General features: G+C 53.2%; 1 protein-coding gene across 46 annotated transcripts in view, besides 9 other annotated features; it reads left to right on the top strand.

Annotated features, from left to right (window-relative positions):
- Nucleotides 1-16,313, top strand: part of KDM2B (lysine demethylase 2B) — a 173,819-nt gene that overhangs the window by 31,659 nt on the left and 125,847 nt on the right. For 40 of the 46 annotated variants that reach the window (XR_007063140.1, XM_047429682.1, XM_047429681.1 and 37 more), the window contains 3 exons: nucleotides 983-1,161; nucleotides 1,638-1,744; nucleotides 16,031-16,124. Coding sequence is in view for 45 of the 46 variants with exons in the window: in XM_047429682.1 (XP_047285638.1) it covers nucleotides 983-1,161; nucleotides 1,638-1,744; nucleotides 16,031-16,124 (380 nt within the window). In the remaining variant the exon portion in view is untranslated. Of the gene's footprint in view, nucleotides 1-982; nucleotides 1,162-1,637; nucleotides 1,745-12,197; nucleotides 12,710-13,072; nucleotides 13,312-13,470; nucleotides 14,147-14,383; nucleotides 14,602-16,030; nucleotides 16,125-16,313 lie in introns of those variants that run through there. The other 6 variants (XM_047429717.1, XM_047429720.1, XM_047429718.1 and 3 more) reach the window with 4 other exon arrangements.
- Nucleotides 1,012-1,513: an enhancer, noted in NCBI's record as "H3K4me1 hESC enhancer chr12:121987013-121987514 (GRCh37/hg19 assembly coordinates)". NCBI's record gives its function as "activates a minimal SCP1, AML or CMV promoter by ChIP-STARR-seq in naive H9 embryonic stem cells {active_cell/tissue: H9 hESC(naive)}" and the evidence as "EXISTENCE:reporter gene assay evidence [ECO:0000049][PMID:30033119]".
- Nucleotides 2,944-3,649: an enhancer, noted in NCBI's record as "H3K27ac-H3K4me1 hESC enhancer chr12:121984877-121985582 (GRCh37/hg19 assembly coordinates)". NCBI's record gives its function as "activates a minimal SCP1, AML or CMV promoter by ChIP-STARR-seq in primed H9 embryonic stem cells {active_cell/tissue: H9 hESC(primed)}" and the evidence as "EXISTENCE:reporter gene assay evidence [ECO:0000049][PMID:30033119]".
- Nucleotides 12,293-12,442: a silencer, noted in NCBI's record as "silent region_4976". NCBI's record gives its function as "represses an Ori minimal core promoter by ATAC-STARR-seq in GM12878 lymphoblastoid cells {active_cell/tissue: GM12878}" and the evidence as "EXISTENCE:reporter gene assay evidence [ECO:0000049][PMID:35858748]".
- Nucleotides 12,553-13,602: a silencer, noted in NCBI's record as "silent region_4975". NCBI's record gives its function as "represses an Ori minimal core promoter by ATAC-STARR-seq in GM12878 lymphoblastoid cells {active_cell/tissue: GM12878}" and the evidence as "EXISTENCE:reporter gene assay evidence [ECO:0000049][PMID:35858748]".
- Nucleotides 13,883-13,992: an enhancer, noted in NCBI's record as "active region_7175". NCBI's record gives its function as "activates an Ori minimal core promoter by ATAC-STARR-seq in GM12878 lymphoblastoid cells {active_cell/tissue: GM12878}" and the evidence as "EXISTENCE:reporter gene assay evidence [ECO:0000049][PMID:35858748]".
- Nucleotides 14,376-15,168: an enhancer, noted in NCBI's record as "H3K4me1 hESC enhancer chr12:121973358-121974150 (GRCh37/hg19 assembly coordinates)". NCBI's record gives its function as "activates a minimal SCP1, AML or CMV promoter by ChIP-STARR-seq in naive H9 embryonic stem cells {active_cell/tissue: H9 hESC(naive)}" and the evidence as "EXISTENCE:reporter gene assay evidence [ECO:0000049][PMID:30033119]".
- Nucleotides 14,433-14,512: an enhancer, noted in NCBI's record as "active region_7174". NCBI's record gives its function as "activates an Ori minimal core promoter by ATAC-STARR-seq in GM12878 lymphoblastoid cells {active_cell/tissue: GM12878}" and the evidence as "EXISTENCE:reporter gene assay evidence [ECO:0000049][PMID:35858748]".
- Nucleotides 15,529-15,598: an enhancer, noted in NCBI's record as "active region_7173". NCBI's record gives its function as "activates an Ori minimal core promoter by ATAC-STARR-seq in GM12878 lymphoblastoid cells {active_cell/tissue: GM12878}" and the evidence as "EXISTENCE:reporter gene assay evidence [ECO:0000049][PMID:35858748]".
- Nucleotides 15,789-16,028: an enhancer, noted in NCBI's record as "active region_7172". NCBI's record gives its function as "activates an Ori minimal core promoter by ATAC-STARR-seq in GM12878 lymphoblastoid cells {active_cell/tissue: GM12878}" and the evidence as "EXISTENCE:reporter gene assay evidence [ECO:0000049][PMID:35858748]".

Raw genomic sequence — 16,313 nt, 5'->3', positions numbered from 1 at the left:
TCAGGAGGCTGAGGCATGAGAATTGCTTGAACCCAGGAAGTGGAGGTTGCAGTGAGCCGAGATTGTGCCACTGCATGATCTCAGTCTGGGCAACAGAGTAAAAAGGAAAGTTAAAAAATTCTTAACTTCTGGGTCACACAATGATAGGCCGTAGGCTGGATTTGGCCCTTGGGCTGTCATCATATGGTGGCCTTTGGCTGGTTTAACCTGTAACCTGTTGAGGTGGCTGTGAAGAAAGGTGGTCACTGGCTTCTTGGGATTTTCTTGTTTATATGTTTATTTCCTTTTCTTTCTTTCTTTTTTTTTTTTTTGAGACAAAGTCTTGCTCTGTTGCCCAGGCTGGAGTGAGGTGGCGCCATCTCAGCTCACTGCAACCTCTGCCTTCCGGGTTCAAGCTATCCTCTTGCCTCAGTTTCCTGAGTAGCTGGCACTATAGGCGTGAGCCACCACGCCCGGCTATTTTTTGTATTTTTAGTAGAAACGGGGTTTCACTATGTTGGCCAGGCTGGTCTCGAACTCCTGACCTCAGGTAATCCGCCCTCCTCGGCCTCCCAAAGTGCTGGGATTACAGGCATGAGCCATCATGCCTGGCCATCTTTGTATTTTTAGTAGATACAGGGTTTCACCATGTTGGCCAGGCTGGTCTCAAACTCCTGACCTCAGGTGATCCCTCCACCTCGGCCTCCCAAAGTGCTGGGATTACAGCCTTAAGCCACCATGCCCAGCTGCTTGGGCCCCTTTAGGTAGCTTTTGAGGTCATCGCAGACTGGCGTGGAGGCCATGGTGGTGCAGGGAAGCAAGGTGGGTGGGAGACAGATCCCAGAAGGAAAGCCGATGGGGTGAGGTAATTGAACAGATGAGGAAGAGGGGTGAGGACTGTGGGGAAACGTGGAGGAGCAGCTTTTGTTTAGTGAGGGGCTCCCATGTAGGATCTGGAGCCTTAAGCCGGCAGGAACAACCAGTGTGTGGCTTCTGCCTCCAGGGAGCCGGCGGCTTGTGGACGTGATGGATGTGAACACCCAGAAGGGCACGGAGATGAGCATGTCCCAGTTTGTGCGTTACTACGAGACGCCCGAGGCCCAGCGGGACAAGCTGTACAACGTCATCAGCCTAGAGTTCAGCCACACCAAGCTGGAGCACTTGGTCAAGCGTCCGACTGTGGTAGGTCCGGGGCCCAGGTACCCTCCCCAGATACCTTCCACCTCATCTCCTTCCCTGTCCCCCTGCCACCTGGGTTGTGCCTTGCAAAAAGGCTCATGTGGGTGTGGCTGGCTGGGCTTGGCAGGCATAGGGGTGACTAAGGTTGGTAACGTGGTTTGTAGAGACAGGGATCTTGCTATGTTGCCCAGGCTGGCCTTGAACTCCTGGGTTCAAGTGACCCTCTCACCTTAGCCTCCCAAAGCACTTAGATTAGAGGTATAAGCTACCGTGCCCGACCCCCAGCGACTGTTTCATCTCCTTCCCTTCTACAAAGTGTGGGTCCTGTCATCCCTGCCCTTCCTTCCTCCCATGTTGGGACTATTGAGCCCACAGTAGATTGGGGGAGCGGGGGGGCCCAAGGACTCTCCGGGGAAAGGGGTATTTGTGTCTGGCTCGGCAGTGGAGAAATGCAGTGCTCACACTGGTCTGGCTTTCAGGTAGACCTGGTGGACTGGGTGGACAACATGTGGCCCCAGCATCTGAAGGAGAAGCAGACAGAAGCCACGAACGCCATTGCAGAGATGAAGTACCCGAAAGTGAAAAAGTAAGACTGCCTGGCTGGTGGCCAGAGCTGGCAGGGTTGACCCCCAGGCTTGGGGAGGTGGGGAGGTGGGAAGGAGGCTCCTGGCCATCAGTGAAGGCTTGAGCGTCACAACCGCTCCCGTTCAGAACTGAAGGACTGTGCCTGTGGGGGCACAGCTGGGACAGGAGGGACGGGGTCCTTCGCGTGTGCAGGTTGGCTGCAGGGGCTCTGATGTCTGCTCTGGGACCAGCTCCCCTGGGGATCTGTGATCTGAGGAGGAGTGATGGCAGACGCCTCTGCATCGGTGTGTGTGTCTGTACGCAAGGGCACAACTGTGCATACTTTTGTGCACTCCCTCCATGAGACATTGTGTCCTGGGAGTGGGCATTTTCGGGGGACCTGCCCACATTGGATGCTTTGGTTTTGGTGAGCAATGGGGAAATACCTACCTGGCATTCTTTTGTTCCTTGGTGTTGAGACCTTGAAGCTCATACCCAAAATAACCTTTCCCAAACATAGTCCAGGGGCCACCTGCTCACCTGATGTACCTTAGACAGTGCCCTCTGAGCAGGAGGCTGACACTAGGTACAGAAGTTAACCATGGTTTATTTTTTTATTTTTATTTTTTTCTGAGACAGAGTCTTGCTCTGTCTCCCAGGCTGGAGTGCAGTGGCACGATCTCTGCTGACTGCAACCTCCGCCTCCTGGGTTCAAGCAATTCTCTTGCCTCAGCCTCCCAAGTACAGGCGTGAGTCACGGCGCCTGGCCAACCATGGTTTAATAGCAAAGACATCACAACATGTGGCATTACCAGCAAGTCCTGAGACTGATTATTTAACATGGGCTGTAGCACCTTTGAGCCCCTCCATGTTCAAGGACTTGAGTAACAGAACTTTTGGGAGGAGGAAGTCACCTTTGAGGCTTCCAGCTCTGTTTCCAACTCTGAAAGGGGAAAGAGGCCGGGCGGGGTGGCTCACACCTGTAATCCCAGCACTTTGGGAGGCTGAGGCGGGCAGATCACGAGGTCAGGAGTTCGAGACCAGCCAGACCAACATGGCAAAACTCTGTCTCTACGAAAAATACAAAAATTGACCCGGTGTGGTGGTGCACGCCTGTAATTCCAGCTACTCAGGAGGCTGAGGCAGGATAATTGCTTGAACCTGGGAGGCGAAGGTTGCAGTGATTGAGCCACTGCACTCCAGCCTGGGCGACAGAGCGAGACTCTGTCTCAAAAAAAAAAAAAAAAAAAAAAGGAAGGGGAAGGAGACACAGGCTGTCCCAGGCAGGGCCATTGCTCTGGGCTTCCTAGAAGAGTTGGCGCTGGCGGCCTGAATCCATTAGCATCTGTCTGCTCAGCCCTGCTGCCAGGAATGCCCCCAGGAGCTTCAAGGCTGTGAACTTTTCATTCACTCAGCCCTTAATTCAGTGCATAGTGAGTGCGGACTGCATGCCAGGCTTTGTAAGGGAGGCCAGCAGGCTGGCCCTTGGGCTTCTCAAGGTTTTGCTTTCAAGCTCTCTCTCTCTCTCTTTCTTTAATTACTTTGTAGGCGGTTTTCCTCCCCTTCAAGCTGAAGCTCCATCCATGCCTTGGATCTGGGCTGCATCAAAGGCAGAGACTGGGCTCGAGGTGGGGAGGGAGCAGGGCTTGTTTTCAATTCCATTCTGTTTGGATTCAGTCGCAGCAAAATTGACAGAGCTCCTGGGATGGGGAAGTAAAAACAGGAACAAGACTACAAGCCCCTACCCTCTGGAGAAAGTGCTGTGCCTCGCGTAGGGGCCTGAGGTGTGGCTCCAGTCCTGGGAGGGGAGCAGGGACTAGAGGAATCCCATTTGGCTGGTGTCATCAGGGGACATCCCCTTCTTGGAGAGGACATTCTTCCTGAGCTTCAAATGACAGAGGAGGCCAGGTGCGGTGGGTCACACCTGTAATCCCAGCACTTTGCGAGGCCAAGAGGGGGCAGATCACCTGGGGTCAGGAGTTTGACACCAGCTTGGCCAACATGGTAAAACCCCATCTCTACTAAAAAAATAAATTAGCCAGGTGTGGTGGTGGGTGCCTGTAGTCCCAGCTGCAGGAAGCAGAAGATTTGCTTGAACCTGGGAGATGGAGCTTACAGTGAGCCGAGATGGCATCACTGCACTCTAGCCTGGGTGACAGAATGAGAGCATGTCTCAAAAAAAAAAAAAGACAAAGAGGCTGGGCGCGGAGGCTCACACCTGTAATCCCAGCACTTTGGGAGGCCGAGGTGGGCAGATCACGAGGTCAGGAGATCGAGACCATCCTGGCTAACATGGTGAAACCCCGTCTCTACTAAACAAACAAACAAAAAAAAAAAACCAAAAAAAAATTAGCCGGGCATGGTGGCGGGCGCCTGTAGTCCCAGCTACTCGGGAGGCTGAGGCAGGAGAATGATGTGAACCCAGGAGGTGGAGCTTGCAGTGAGCCGAGATCGCGCCACTGCACTCCAGCCTGGGTGACAGAGCGAGACTCCGTCTCAAAAAAAAAAAAAAAAAAAAAGGCAAAAAAAAAAGACAGAGGAGATGGGAGAGAAGTGAAAAGGGCCCCGAAAAAAGGCTGTGGGACTCAGAGATTATTAGTTAGAGGCAGATGATGGCTCATTGATTGATTGAGATGATGGTTCATTGATTGGTTGATTGATTCATTCATTCATTCAGCGCCTATGTCTTGAGCCCTTGATTGGTGCTGAGTACTGGGGTTTACAGTGGGGAGGAAACCAGAAGAGGTTCCTGCTCTCCTGGAGCATACACAGTGTATGGGGGAGACAGATGTAAATCCAGTAATCACAGAAATAGATGGGAACTTGCAGCTGCGATGAGGCCCACAGTGCCCCAGAGCTGGTACTAGGGGAGGAGATTCGCCCAGTCAAGGTGGTCGGGGAAGGTGTTCTGAGCTGGAGTCTGAAGGCTGAGCAGGGTTACTTAGGTGAAGAAGACTGGGAGGGCTTTCCTGGCTGTGTGTAGTCGACTTGGGATGGTGGGGAGGGGCAGGGGACCTGTGGAAGGAAGGCCAGTGGGGCTGGAACAGAGGCAGTGAATGCAGGGTGGGTGTGGGGTGGGCCAGGCAGAACAGAGGGTCTGCATTTCCTGTAAGAACAGCTGGAATCCTCTCCAAGATTTTGAGCAGAGAGAAATGTGTTCAGGTTTGCATTCTGCAGGTCCTCTTGTTGCTATGGGGATTGGATGGCGTGGGGGCACGTGAACATGAGGAGGCCACGGCATGGTGTGGAATTGGGAGTGACGGGCAGGGAGAGCGGAGGGGCTGAGGGTCCAGCTGGACATAGATTTAGGAATGCAAAAGAGACTGCGCTGGGTGACACAGATTTCAGTTTCATAATTAATGCCTACCTTGCCTTCCTGAGATACTCAGCATATTCTGCACTTTATTGAAAGATTCCTTTAAATAGTAAGCTCTATTAATATATTGAGGATCCTATCTAATTACCAAAAAAAAAAGTGAGGCTCACACACTCATTTTTTTTTCTTTTTTTAAAACCGTTGTCTGTCACTGTGCACACACTGCCAGTTTTCTAGGACCATTTGTCTTGGGGTCGAATTGTGTGGCGAATAGAGCTACGGACCCCGTCAGTGGTCATGGGAACTGGTTAGAGGATTCGAACCTCGTTAGGAAGGAAATTGTCATCTTGGAAATAGTCCATTTGTTTTGCTGAAAAGAATACCGATTTCAGTTAATAAGCAAGGTAAAAAAAATCCCACCCTGATGAAGTCCTCCGGGATCGTAGAACAGTTCTGTAGAATTTAATTAAGATGACATTGTTTCTAGAAATCATGGAGCTTTCATGCTGGAGGCCCTGGAGGGTAGAGATGGCTGTCAGCACACCTGAGGGAAGGACTGCAGTAGGGAAGAGAGAAGTGACACAGACACACGACTGCTTCCCCCACCCGGCTCCAGGACTTTTGGTGATGGGCTTAGGAATTTTTAAAAATTTTTTAATTTTTATTTTTTTAGAGAGGGTCTCACTCTGTTGCCCAGGCTGGAGTGCAATGGCACGATCTCGGCTCACTGCAACCTCCGCCTCCCAGGTTCAAACGATTCTCCTGCCTCAGCCTCCCAAGTAGCTGGGATTACAGGCACCCACCACCACACCCAGCTAATTTTTGTATTTTTAGTAGAGACAGGGTTTCACCATGTTGGCCAGGCCGGTCTCGAACTCCTGACCTCAGGTGATCTGCCCGCCTTGGCCTCCCAAAGTACTGGGATTACAGGCGTGAGCCACCACACCTGGCTGATTTTTTCTTTTTTTGGGGGGGGACGGAGACTCACTGTGTTGTCCAGGCTGGAGTGCGGTGGTATGATCTCAGCTCACTGCAACCTCCGCCTCCCGGGATCAAGCGATTCTCCTGCCTCAGCCTCCCGAGCAGCTGGGACTACAGGTGTGCACCAACACACCCGGCTAATGTTTATATTTTTAGTAGAGACGGGGTTTCACCATGTTGGCCAAGCTGGTCTTGAGCTCCTGACCTCAGGTGATCACCTGCCTTGGCTTCCCAAAGTGCAGGGATTACAGGTGTGAGCCACCATGCCCAGCCAGGAATCTTTTTGTTTATTTGTTTTTTATTTTTTGGAGACAGAGTCTTGCTTTGTTGCCCAGGCTGCAGTGTAGTGCACAGTCCTAGCTTACTGCAGCCTTAAACTCCCAGGACTCCTCCTACCTCAGCTTCCTGAGTGATCCTCCTACATCAGCCTCCTGAGTAGCTAGGACTATAGGTGTGTACCTGGCTTTTTTTTTTTTTTTTTTTTTTTGAGGCAGGGTCTCTCTCTGTTGCCCAGGCTGGAGTGCAGTGGCGCAATTGTGGGTCGTTGCAACTTCCTCCTCCCAGGCTCAAGCAATCCTCCCTTTCTCAGCCTCCCGAGCAGCTGGGACCATAGGCACACACCACCACGCCTGGCTAATTTTGTTAGATATGGGGTTTCGCCATGTTGGCCCAGGCTGGTCTTGACCTCCTGGACTCAAGTGGTCCACCGACCTTGGCCTCCCAAAGTGCTGGGATTACAGGTGGGGTGTGCCACTACTCCTGGCCTAATTTTGTTTTTTGTTTTTTAGACGGAGTCTCACTCTGTCGCCAGGCTGGAATGCAGTGGCATGATCTCGACTCACTGCAACCTCTGACTCCCTGGTTAAGTGATTCCCTCAGCCTCCTGAGTAGCTGGGATTACAGGCACACGCCACCATGCCCAGCTAATTTTTGTATTTTTAGTAGAGATGGGGTTTCACCATGTTGGCCAGGATGGTTTCGATCTCCTGACCTCGTGATCTGCCCACCTCGACCTCCCAAAGTGCTGGGATTACAGGCATGAGCCACCAGGCCCGGCTGATCTTTTTAAAAATTAAAAAATTTTTTTTTAAATTTGTAGAGATGGCAGCAGGGGGATGTCTCTGTGTTACCCAGGCTGGTCTTGAACTCCTGGCCTCAAGTGATCCAGATAGTTACAAATATGGGTGTGAGCCACCATGCCCAGCTGGCTTAGGACTCAGTGTTTTTCTTTTCTTTTTTCTTTTTTGAGAAAGAGTTTCACTCTGTCGCCCAGGCTGGAGCGCAGTGGTGAGATCTCAGCTTACTGTAACCTCCACCTCTGGGGTTCAAGCGATTCTCCTGCATCAGCCTCCCAAGTAGCTGGGATTACAGGCTCCCGCCATTACACCCAGCTAATTTTTGTATTTTTAGTAGAGACAGGGGTTTCGCCATGTTGGCCAAGTTGGTCTTGAACTCCTGACCTCAAGTGATCTACCCGCCTCAGCCTCCCAACGTGCTGGGATTACAGGCATGACCCATGACCCACTGCGCCGGGCCTCAGTGATTTTTATTTTAGTTGAGATACTTAAAAACAGGTAGGAGTAATAGGAGTGGAGTGGGGGTAGTTGCACCTTCACAGAGACAAAAGATTTGCAAGGAGTATGTTAATTTATTAGTTATCTTATGTGCAAGACATGATTCTATGTAGTAGTGGGTGGACTTCAGTGCATAAAGCCAAGTCCCCATTCTCGTGGAGCATACATTGTGGTGGGAAAAAAGAGACAGGAAAGCCAATGAGGGAATAATTTAGGAGGTTTAATGGTCATGGAGAAACATAAAGCAGGAAAAAGGATTGGGCTGAATGAATACTGAAGACAAGGTGCATCTCTGCCAATGGCCTTTTTCTTCATCTGTACCCTGCAGGAATGCATTGGATGTATAGAACCATTTGTCTTAGAAAATTCCTTATAACCAAATAGATAGTGACTGTTATTTGGGAGTATTCCTGCATTAGTTGCTTATTGCTGTATAATTATTCTAAAACTTCAGAGCTTAAGAAAAATTTTAGCAGCTTAAAACATCAAACATTATCTCACAGTTTCTGTGATTCAGGAATCTGGGAACAACTGAGCTGGGTGGTTCTGGCTCAGGGTCTCTTATAAGCTTGTGTTAGGCCTTGGCCATGTGTGGTGGCTTACGCCTGTAATCACAGCACTTTGGGAGGCCAAGGGGGGTGGAGTGCTTGAGCCCAGGAGTTCAAGAGCAGCCTGGCCAACATAGTGAGAAATGTTGCAGTGGGGGGAATGATGTAGGCCTGGGCTGCAGTCAGCTGAAGCCTCTATGGGCTGGAAGATCCGCTTCCAAGATGGTGCATCCCCGTGGCTGTTGGCAGGAGGCCTCAGTTCCTTGCCACATATAGCTCTCCATAGGTCTGCTTGAGTGTCCTCATGATATGGCAGTGGGTTCCCCATAGTGAATGGTTCAAGAAACACCAAGGAGGAAGCCACAGTGCCATTTATGACCTAATTTTGAAAGTCACATATTGTTTGCTCCTGCCATATTCTGTTAATTAAAAGTAAATCACTAAGTCCAGCTCATACTCAAGGGGAGGAGAATTTAGCTCTGCCTCTCGAAGGGAGGTGTATCAAAGCATTTGTAGACATGTTTCAAAGCCTCCACAGTTGCCTAGTTCTATGACATGGGCTCACCTTTTTCACTTAGCACCGCTGGGTTCTGTGATAGATTCCAGAAGTGGATTAGTGAGTCTCCTCCCCTCCTTTGCTCCTGTAGAATACAGGTTTGTAGAGATCAAGTTTCTTGGTGGAATGAAGATATGCTGTGATCTGACAAGCAGTAAAGGAGCTCAAAAGCCCAGCAAAATGGGGACCCCACATAAAGCATAGGTTTGGCCCTCAGATAATTGATAGTTGAGTGGGTTCTCTTCCCTGTGTACTTTCTGGGGGTGGCAGGAGGAACTGGGGAAATTGTTGGGGGAGTGAGAACCTGACACACAGAGAAGAGGAAACAGAGGCACTGGGCTGGGCACATTTTGGGGCACATTTTGTGTACATTTTGGGGCTTCTGCTACTCTCTCACTCCAGCAAGGCTTTCTTTTTTTTTCTCTTTTATCTATAGGATTCTGCTTGATAAATAAAATTTCCCTCCCTCTCTCCCTCCCTCCCTCCCTCCTTCCCTCCGTCCTTCCTTTTTTTTTTTTTTTTTTTTTTGAGACAGGGGCTGTCTCTGTTGCCAAGGCTTCAGTGCAGTGGCACAATCACAGTTCATTGCAGCCTCAGAGTCCTGGGCCCAAGGCATCCTCCTCCCTCCTTCTGGAGTAGCTGGCACTACAGGTGTATGCCACTATCCCCTGGCTTATTTATTTATTTATTTTGAGTGGAGTTTCACTCTTGTTGCCCAGGCTGGAGTGCAATGGTGCGAGCTCTGCTCACCCCAACCTCCGCCTCCTGGGTTCAAGCGATTCTCCTGCCTCAGCCTCCTGAGTAGCTGGGATTACAGGCATGTGCCACCACGGCTGGCTAATTTTGTATTTTTAGTAGAGACAGGGTTTCTCCATGTTGGTCAGGCTGGTCTCGAACTCCCAACCTCAGGTGATCCACCCGCCTCGGCCTCCCAAAGTGTTGGGATTACAAACTCAAGCCACTGCACCTGGCCCATCCTCTTGAAGGGACTGTTTCTTCTTCTACAATGTAGGGGTCCTGCCATCTCTGCCCTGCCTTCTTCCCATGCTATGGGGGAGACAGAGCCCACAGTGGATGTGGAAGAGTGTTCACAGGTGGGCAAGATATTTGTCCATGTGGCTGCATTGGAATTCTGGCATCCTCTACTTTTTTTTTTTTTTTTTTTTTTTGAGACAGAGTCTCGCTCTGCTGCCCAGGCTGGAGTGCCGGTGATGCAATCTCGGCTCACTGCAACCTCTGCCTCCCGGGTTCCAGTGATTCTCCTGCCTCAGCCTCCCGATTTAGCTGGAACTACAGGCATGCAACACCACACCCGGCTAATTTTTTTGCATTTTTTCAGTAGAGACAGAGTTTCACCATGTTGGCCAGGCTGGTCTTGAACTCCTGACCTCAGGTGATCCGCCTGCCTCAGCCTCCCAAAATGCTGGGATTATAGGTGTGAGCCACTGCACCTGGCCCTCATCCTCTACTTTTCAGTCAACCCTCCTTCACATCCGTATGGGGCTTTTATGTCTACATTGCACATTCACCCTTAACCTCAAGACCTACTCTCTCATCAGCTGTGTTTGCTGGCATTATAAATGATCATCCCTGTGTAATATGTCAGATAGGGAAACCGGCCCCGCACAGGGAGGATGCTGTGGGCCATGCACTAGACCCCAGGCCTTTAGATTCCTGGCTTTTTCTCTCAACTGCTCTACCTTTAAAAGAGGAACAAAGAAAGCCAGCATTCCTGTGTGTATGGACCAACGCACCACCATAGACACTTGGCATGCATATCTCAATAAGGGAGGCATGGGTTACTATCCCCATTTTATAGACAAGGAAACTGAGGTTCATAGTGGTTCAATGCAGGTAACAAGTGAGTACAAGGTAGTAGGGTTAGGCGAGCTGCGGTGGCTCATGTCTGTGATCTCAGCACTTTAGGAGGTCCAGGTGGGTGGATTGCTTGAGGCCAGGAGTTCGAGAGCAGCCTAGCCAATACAGCAAAACCCCATCTGTACTAAAAATACAAAAATCAGCCGGGTGTAGTGGTGTGCCCCTGGAGTCCCAGCTACTTGGGAAGCTGAGGCATGAGAATCTCTTAAACTCGGGAGTTGGAGGTTGCAGTGCGCTGAGATCATGCCACTCCACTCCAGCTTGGGCAAAAGAGCAAGACTCTGTCTTAAAAAACAAACAGACAAACAAACAAACAAACACATTAGGGGCTGATGAGGCTTGTGGATAACTCAGAAATTCCTTTAAAAGTTAAAAAAAAAAACTGCTGGCCAAACCAAGTGCTTCTGGGGCCTGGTGTGACCCACGAAGACACCAGTTAGAGGCCCCTGATTAGTGGGACTCTGAGTTCCAGAAAGGGGGAAGATCAGTCCAATGTCACAGAGCCCAGTGAAGTAATTATAGGGTTGCTGCAGGGTGCTACGGTTACACAGATGAATCGGATATAGTCCCTGCCTTCAAGGAGCTGAGGCATTTGTGACTAAAAATACAATTCTCTTATGTGGATAGCCTGGTCCGGCCATCAGGACTGTCTCCTCTCCTAGCTCATTTAATGCCACATCCTTTTCTTTCTTTTTTTTTTTTTTTTTTTTTTTTTTTTTGGGAGAGGGTCTCCTATGTCACCCGGGCTGGAGTGCAGTGGCGCAGTCGTGATTCACCCTTGACCTCGTGAGGTGAAGCAGTCCTCCCACCCCAGCCTCCCTGGTAGCTGGGACTACAGGCGCGCACCATTATGTTGGTTGTCTTAGGGGTGAAACGAGATCACGCATGTAAACAGCTATTATTATTATTAGCACTGGTAATTAGAACCTGTTAATTAATATTGCTCAGTAGTCCTGGTGGCTGGGGTTTGGAGAAAGAATGGAGAGGCTGGAATCTGCCCCTGCAGTGGCTATGGGACCATTTCCAGCCCCCTTGTGGTTTGGGAGAAGGGTGTGGGACAGGGTGGGAGGAGGGCGGGGACTCTGGTGACCTTGAGTGTGGGACTTCTGATTTGAGCGGGATCACCACCTGCAGCTGGAGGTTAGTGGTGAGGTTTGGCTGTAACCTCTGGACTCCTCCTGGAGTTGAGGTGTGTCAGGTAGACCAATGGGGGCAAAGCTGAGGGACTGGGAGACAGGCTGCCTGGGTGAGCACTGCCTCTGATAGGCTGGTGACCCGAACTGGAGGCTGGACCCGAACTCGAGGCTTGAGTCACAAGCCTCCCTGTGCTTATCTGAAAACAGGAAGAATCCTGGGAATGACTTTTTAGGGTTGTTGTGAAGTTTGGATTAAGTAATCCAGGTACCACAGTTTGGATGATGCGGTGAATATGTATTTATCTCAAAGGAGTCTCTCAACCATGCTATGATGTAGGGTACACAGTCACTAAGCCACCAGGCAGGGGAAGGGGTGGTAAAAGAACATCTTAGAATGCAGAATTGAACTTCAGTGCCGAGCAGTGAGGATGCTGTTCAGAGAGGGGAAGTGAGTTGTTTAAGGTCACACAGCGCGTGGGCCTTGGGGTCAGAGCGGCTTCCCCCTTCTCAGCGCTACCATACTCCGGATCCCACTCTCCCCGCGGCCCCTAGCTCGGGTCCTTTCTATGGCTGTATCTGGAGGGGCACATCTTAGGAAGGTGGCTTTGCTGGCCGTCACCTGCTATGGAACACGGGGCTCAGGGGGGTGGGGAGAGCCAGCCCTGCACCCCCACCGGCCGGGCGAGGGGCGTCTCCTGGCGCCGGCCCGCGTTGCTTCCCGGTCGCCCCGCGGCCTCCCTCCGCCTCCCTGGCGGCCCCGCGCCGCGGGTGTTCAGTTTCAGCGCGGGCATGAGCGCAGGCAGCGCCCGGCTCCCCGCGGAAGGAAGGCAGCGAGCGGGGGCCCCGCGTCCTCGGCCGGGGCCTGGCAGCGCCGTGGAGGGGGCTCGGCTCGCGTTGCCGCCGGGAGTGGGGCCGGGCGCGCGTCGAGCCTCCGCAGCCGAAGGGGACGCCCGGGAGCCGAAGGGGACGCACGGGAGCCGCCGCCGCCGCCGCCGAGGGTAACCGCGGGCCGCGCTGCCCGGGCGCCCCCTCCTTTGTGGCGCTGCGCGGGGCGGGTGTGGGTGGCCTCCCGCCCGCGGGCTACAGGGCCGGCGTCGCGGAGCCGCTCTTTGTGTCTCCCGGGGTCGGGTGCGAGTGTGCGGCGCGCTCTTGGCACCTCCCGCGCCCCTCGGGTGTCAGCGTTCCGGCGCCCCTCCCGGCCCTTTCCCCACGGGGACGCCTCCCGAGCCACCGGGGGAGTTACGCCAAGTTGGAGGGAAAAAGGTGGGGCGGGGCCGCCCCGCCTCCGCAGCCCCCAGGCAGCGCCCCAAAGTTGGTGCTGCAGGTGCAGCAACCCTCCTGCCGCCCTCCTCCCCGGCTGGCCCGGCCGTGGCAGGCGGGAACCCCCAAGGGCTCGGTTCGGGGGCTCCCGATGATCTGCCGCCAACTTGGAGGGTGCCTTGCTGCACAGAAGCCACCTGAGCTGGGGGCGGCCGGGGGCGGCCGAGGCCCAGGCGGAAGCCGGGCTAGCCGGCTGGCCGTGGGGAGAGCTTAGCGGCCGTGGCACCGAGCCGGGGTGCCCATGTGACTGCGGTGTGCTTGGGAAGAGGAAGCTGCAGAGGTCAGTGCAAAGGCGTCACGCCAGAGCGAGCGAGCAAACCAGCCAGGGGGGAGCCCCGGAGCCAGCGCGGGGCGGGAGCGGGGGTGGCCTGTCGCTGCAGGGGCCGGACAAAGCCGCGCTGTCCCAGCCACCCTGGCTCCCCTAATGCCTGCGATCGCGGGGTGGGAGGGGCGGCCAGGCTTGGCGGCCAGGAAATGAGGGACACCGGGAGGAGGGGCCTCTCCGGGAGAGGCAGGTCTGGAAGAGGCGGCCCCAGCCCCCCGAGGGGCCTCTGGATGCTGGAGGGTGACCCAGAGGGCAGATCAGACACAGACTCAACTTGGAGAACTTTCCCTGCACACTGCAGCCAGCTTGCAGCGATTCTTTTCTGCACGTGCTGGGGAGGTCGGGGTTGCGGGGAGCTGGAGGATGGCAGGATGGGGGTGACCTGGTTAGCCAGGCAGCCCTGGGGCCCGCAGCCCAAGAGGCGAGCTCCTGTCCTCTCCTCTCTGCTGTGGGTACCCGCGGGCTTCCAGCTGTCGACAAGAGAAGCACGTTCTCTGGGCTCCGCCCCGCACATACTTAGATTGTTTTCCCTAGACTGTGTTCAGCTGAGGCCTGGAGGGGGTGGAAACCAAGGTTAGATTAAAAAAAGAAAAAAAAAAAAAAACCAAGACGAAGAGATGGTTTTAGGGAAATGAAGACTAATATTTTGAAGTGGTGCTTAGAGAGAAGAGGCCAGTGTGGTCCGTGGGGGTGGGGTGGGTGAGGGCTTCAGGACCCCCCCTTTCCTTAGAGAGAAGAGGATCACCCAGGCCTTCAGGCGGGGACCCCGCTGGGCCCAGCCGGCCTACAGGTGAGGACGGTGTGGAGCCCAGAGTCGGGACTTTGACCACCCCATTGCCAGCTCCGCAGCCCGCGCCTGTCTTCGTGACAGCCTGCGTCCTGTGCTGTCAACTACACCCCTCCGATGGGGTTGCTAGGCAGCGGGGCTCTGATGTACTGGAAGGCCTTCTGATTTGTCAGCCTCCTGCAGACACATGGTTAAGGCTCCTTCCAGCCTATGGGGAGGAGGGACGCGGGCACGCCGCCTGCATACTGCTGAGCCCCCGGTCCACCTGAAAGCGAGGTGCAAAAGGCAGCCAGAGGGAGGGGGCACCAGGAGCCCTCCGCCTTCTAACCAGCTCAGCCCCACTCCCCGCATTATCTCCACTCGTGCCGGCGCGCTGCTGGCTCCTCCCTGTCCGTCCCCGCCCCATTCCTTCCCTCTTCCCCAAACCATGGAAAGGCAAAGTGCAGCGGGGAAAAGAGGTCAGTGGGGTAAGCATGTGTTGCGGGCTCCGGAGGTGCCAAGGTGCATGGGCGTGAGCGGTGGGGAGGCTGCCCATCCGTGCCACCTGGGGCTCTAGTGGGAAGGGGCAAGTGGCAGGGAGGGGTCCCTGGCACCGTCATGTGCCAGGCCTGGACTTGGAAGCCTTCTCTGTGCCCCCTCCTCCTTCAGCTCTGCCCCACTCCTAAGAGGGCAGCAGTTGAGGGAGGAGGGGAGCCCTGGGTGTTTCTGCAAGGAAGGGTGGGCTCTCCAGCCCTCCATAGCACTGAGAAGGGGATGGCTGCTGGCCAGTTCCTGCTTCCCCTGGATTCACTCCCCGGCCCCAGCCTCCAAGGTCCAAGTTCTTCCTCCTCCTTCTCTTCCTCTGTGCATGGCCACCACCCCCAATTTAATTTCTCTTAAATTCTTTACTTGTTTATAACAGCCTTACTGAGACATAATTCACAGACCGTTCACCCATGTAAAAGTGTACAATTCAACGGGTTTTAGTATGTTCACAGAGTTTTGCAACCACAGTTAATTTTAGAACATTTTCATCACCCCAGAATGAAACCCTGTACCCATTAGCAGTCATTCCCCATTGTCCTGCCCCCCAGCCCCTGACACCCACTAATCTGCTTTCTGTCTCTATAGATTTGTCTACTCTGCACATTTTGTATACGTGGGACCAGACACCGCTTGGTCTTTTGGGGCTGGAACCCCCCCTTACTTTTCTAGCTGCATTGCTTACTTGGCAATCAATTGCAGTTTTGTTTTTTTGTTTTTTGTGTGTGTGGGTTTTTTTTTTTTTGGTCATTTAACTTTTCCTGTGCATTGCTTCTTTAGGAGTGTCGCACAGTTAGGGGCAGGGGTCTTCTGCATTCTTATGCATTTCTCTCAAGGCCAAAGCTGGCTCGGGGCTGGACCTCTGGTTGAATGAATGAGGAGATGAATGGGGACTGGTAATTGGCAAGCTGTGCAGGTGGTTTACAACTGAATTCCAGGGGGCCCAGCTGCTACAAAGGGGGCTGGCAGCTTGGGAGAACTGCAGGTATCCAAGCTGTGAAGGAGCAGAGAGGAAGCCTCTAACTGGGGGAGGGCAGAGGTGGGGCAAAGGTAGAAACCCACCCCGTTAGGAACCTGTAAAGTGGTCTGTGGGTTGCCACTTCTCGCAAGAACCTGAAAACAAGTGTATCACTCCCAGCCTCTGGGGTAGGTAGGCGACCAGTGCTTGAGATTTGTCACCTGATCACAGGGGCTTCCCCCGTGGGGAACTCCGATTACATTTGGATTTTTAAAGAAGAAAAAAAGAAAATTCCCCAGCGTCAGCGTTTATAAAAGGGCACCAGTTCAGGACCTCTGAAGTCCTTTGCTTACGTCTTGTGATTTAGATCTTGACTTGTGTTCTGTCTCCCTGCCTCTGTGTTGCAGGTACTGTCTGATGAGCGTGAAAGGTTGTTTCACCGACTTCCACATCGACTTTGGAGGCACTTCCGTTTGGTACCATGTTTTCCGGGGTGGGAAGGTGAGTTTCAGTTGCCTTTAACTTTCTATGCATCTCTAGCTGTTTGTGTGGGGAGGGGCTCACTTACCTTTCCCTCTCCTCCCACCTCCCTCCTCCAACCAGCCCTGCCCCAGGAGTACTTTAAGGATTACTCTTTTTTTTTTTTTTTGAGATGGAGTCTCGCTCTGTCGCCCAGGCTGGAGTGCAGTG

This window comes from Homo sapiens, chromosome 12 (genome assembly GCF_000001405.40).
Source record: "Homo sapiens chromosome 12, GRCh38.p14 Primary Assembly".
Taxonomy (NCBI): domain Eukaryota; kingdom Metazoa; phylum Chordata; class Mammalia; order Primates; family Hominidae; genus Homo; species Homo sapiens.
The sequence above is the reverse complement of the archived record's forward strand: the minus strand, read 5'-3'. Positions and strand labels throughout refer to the sequence as shown.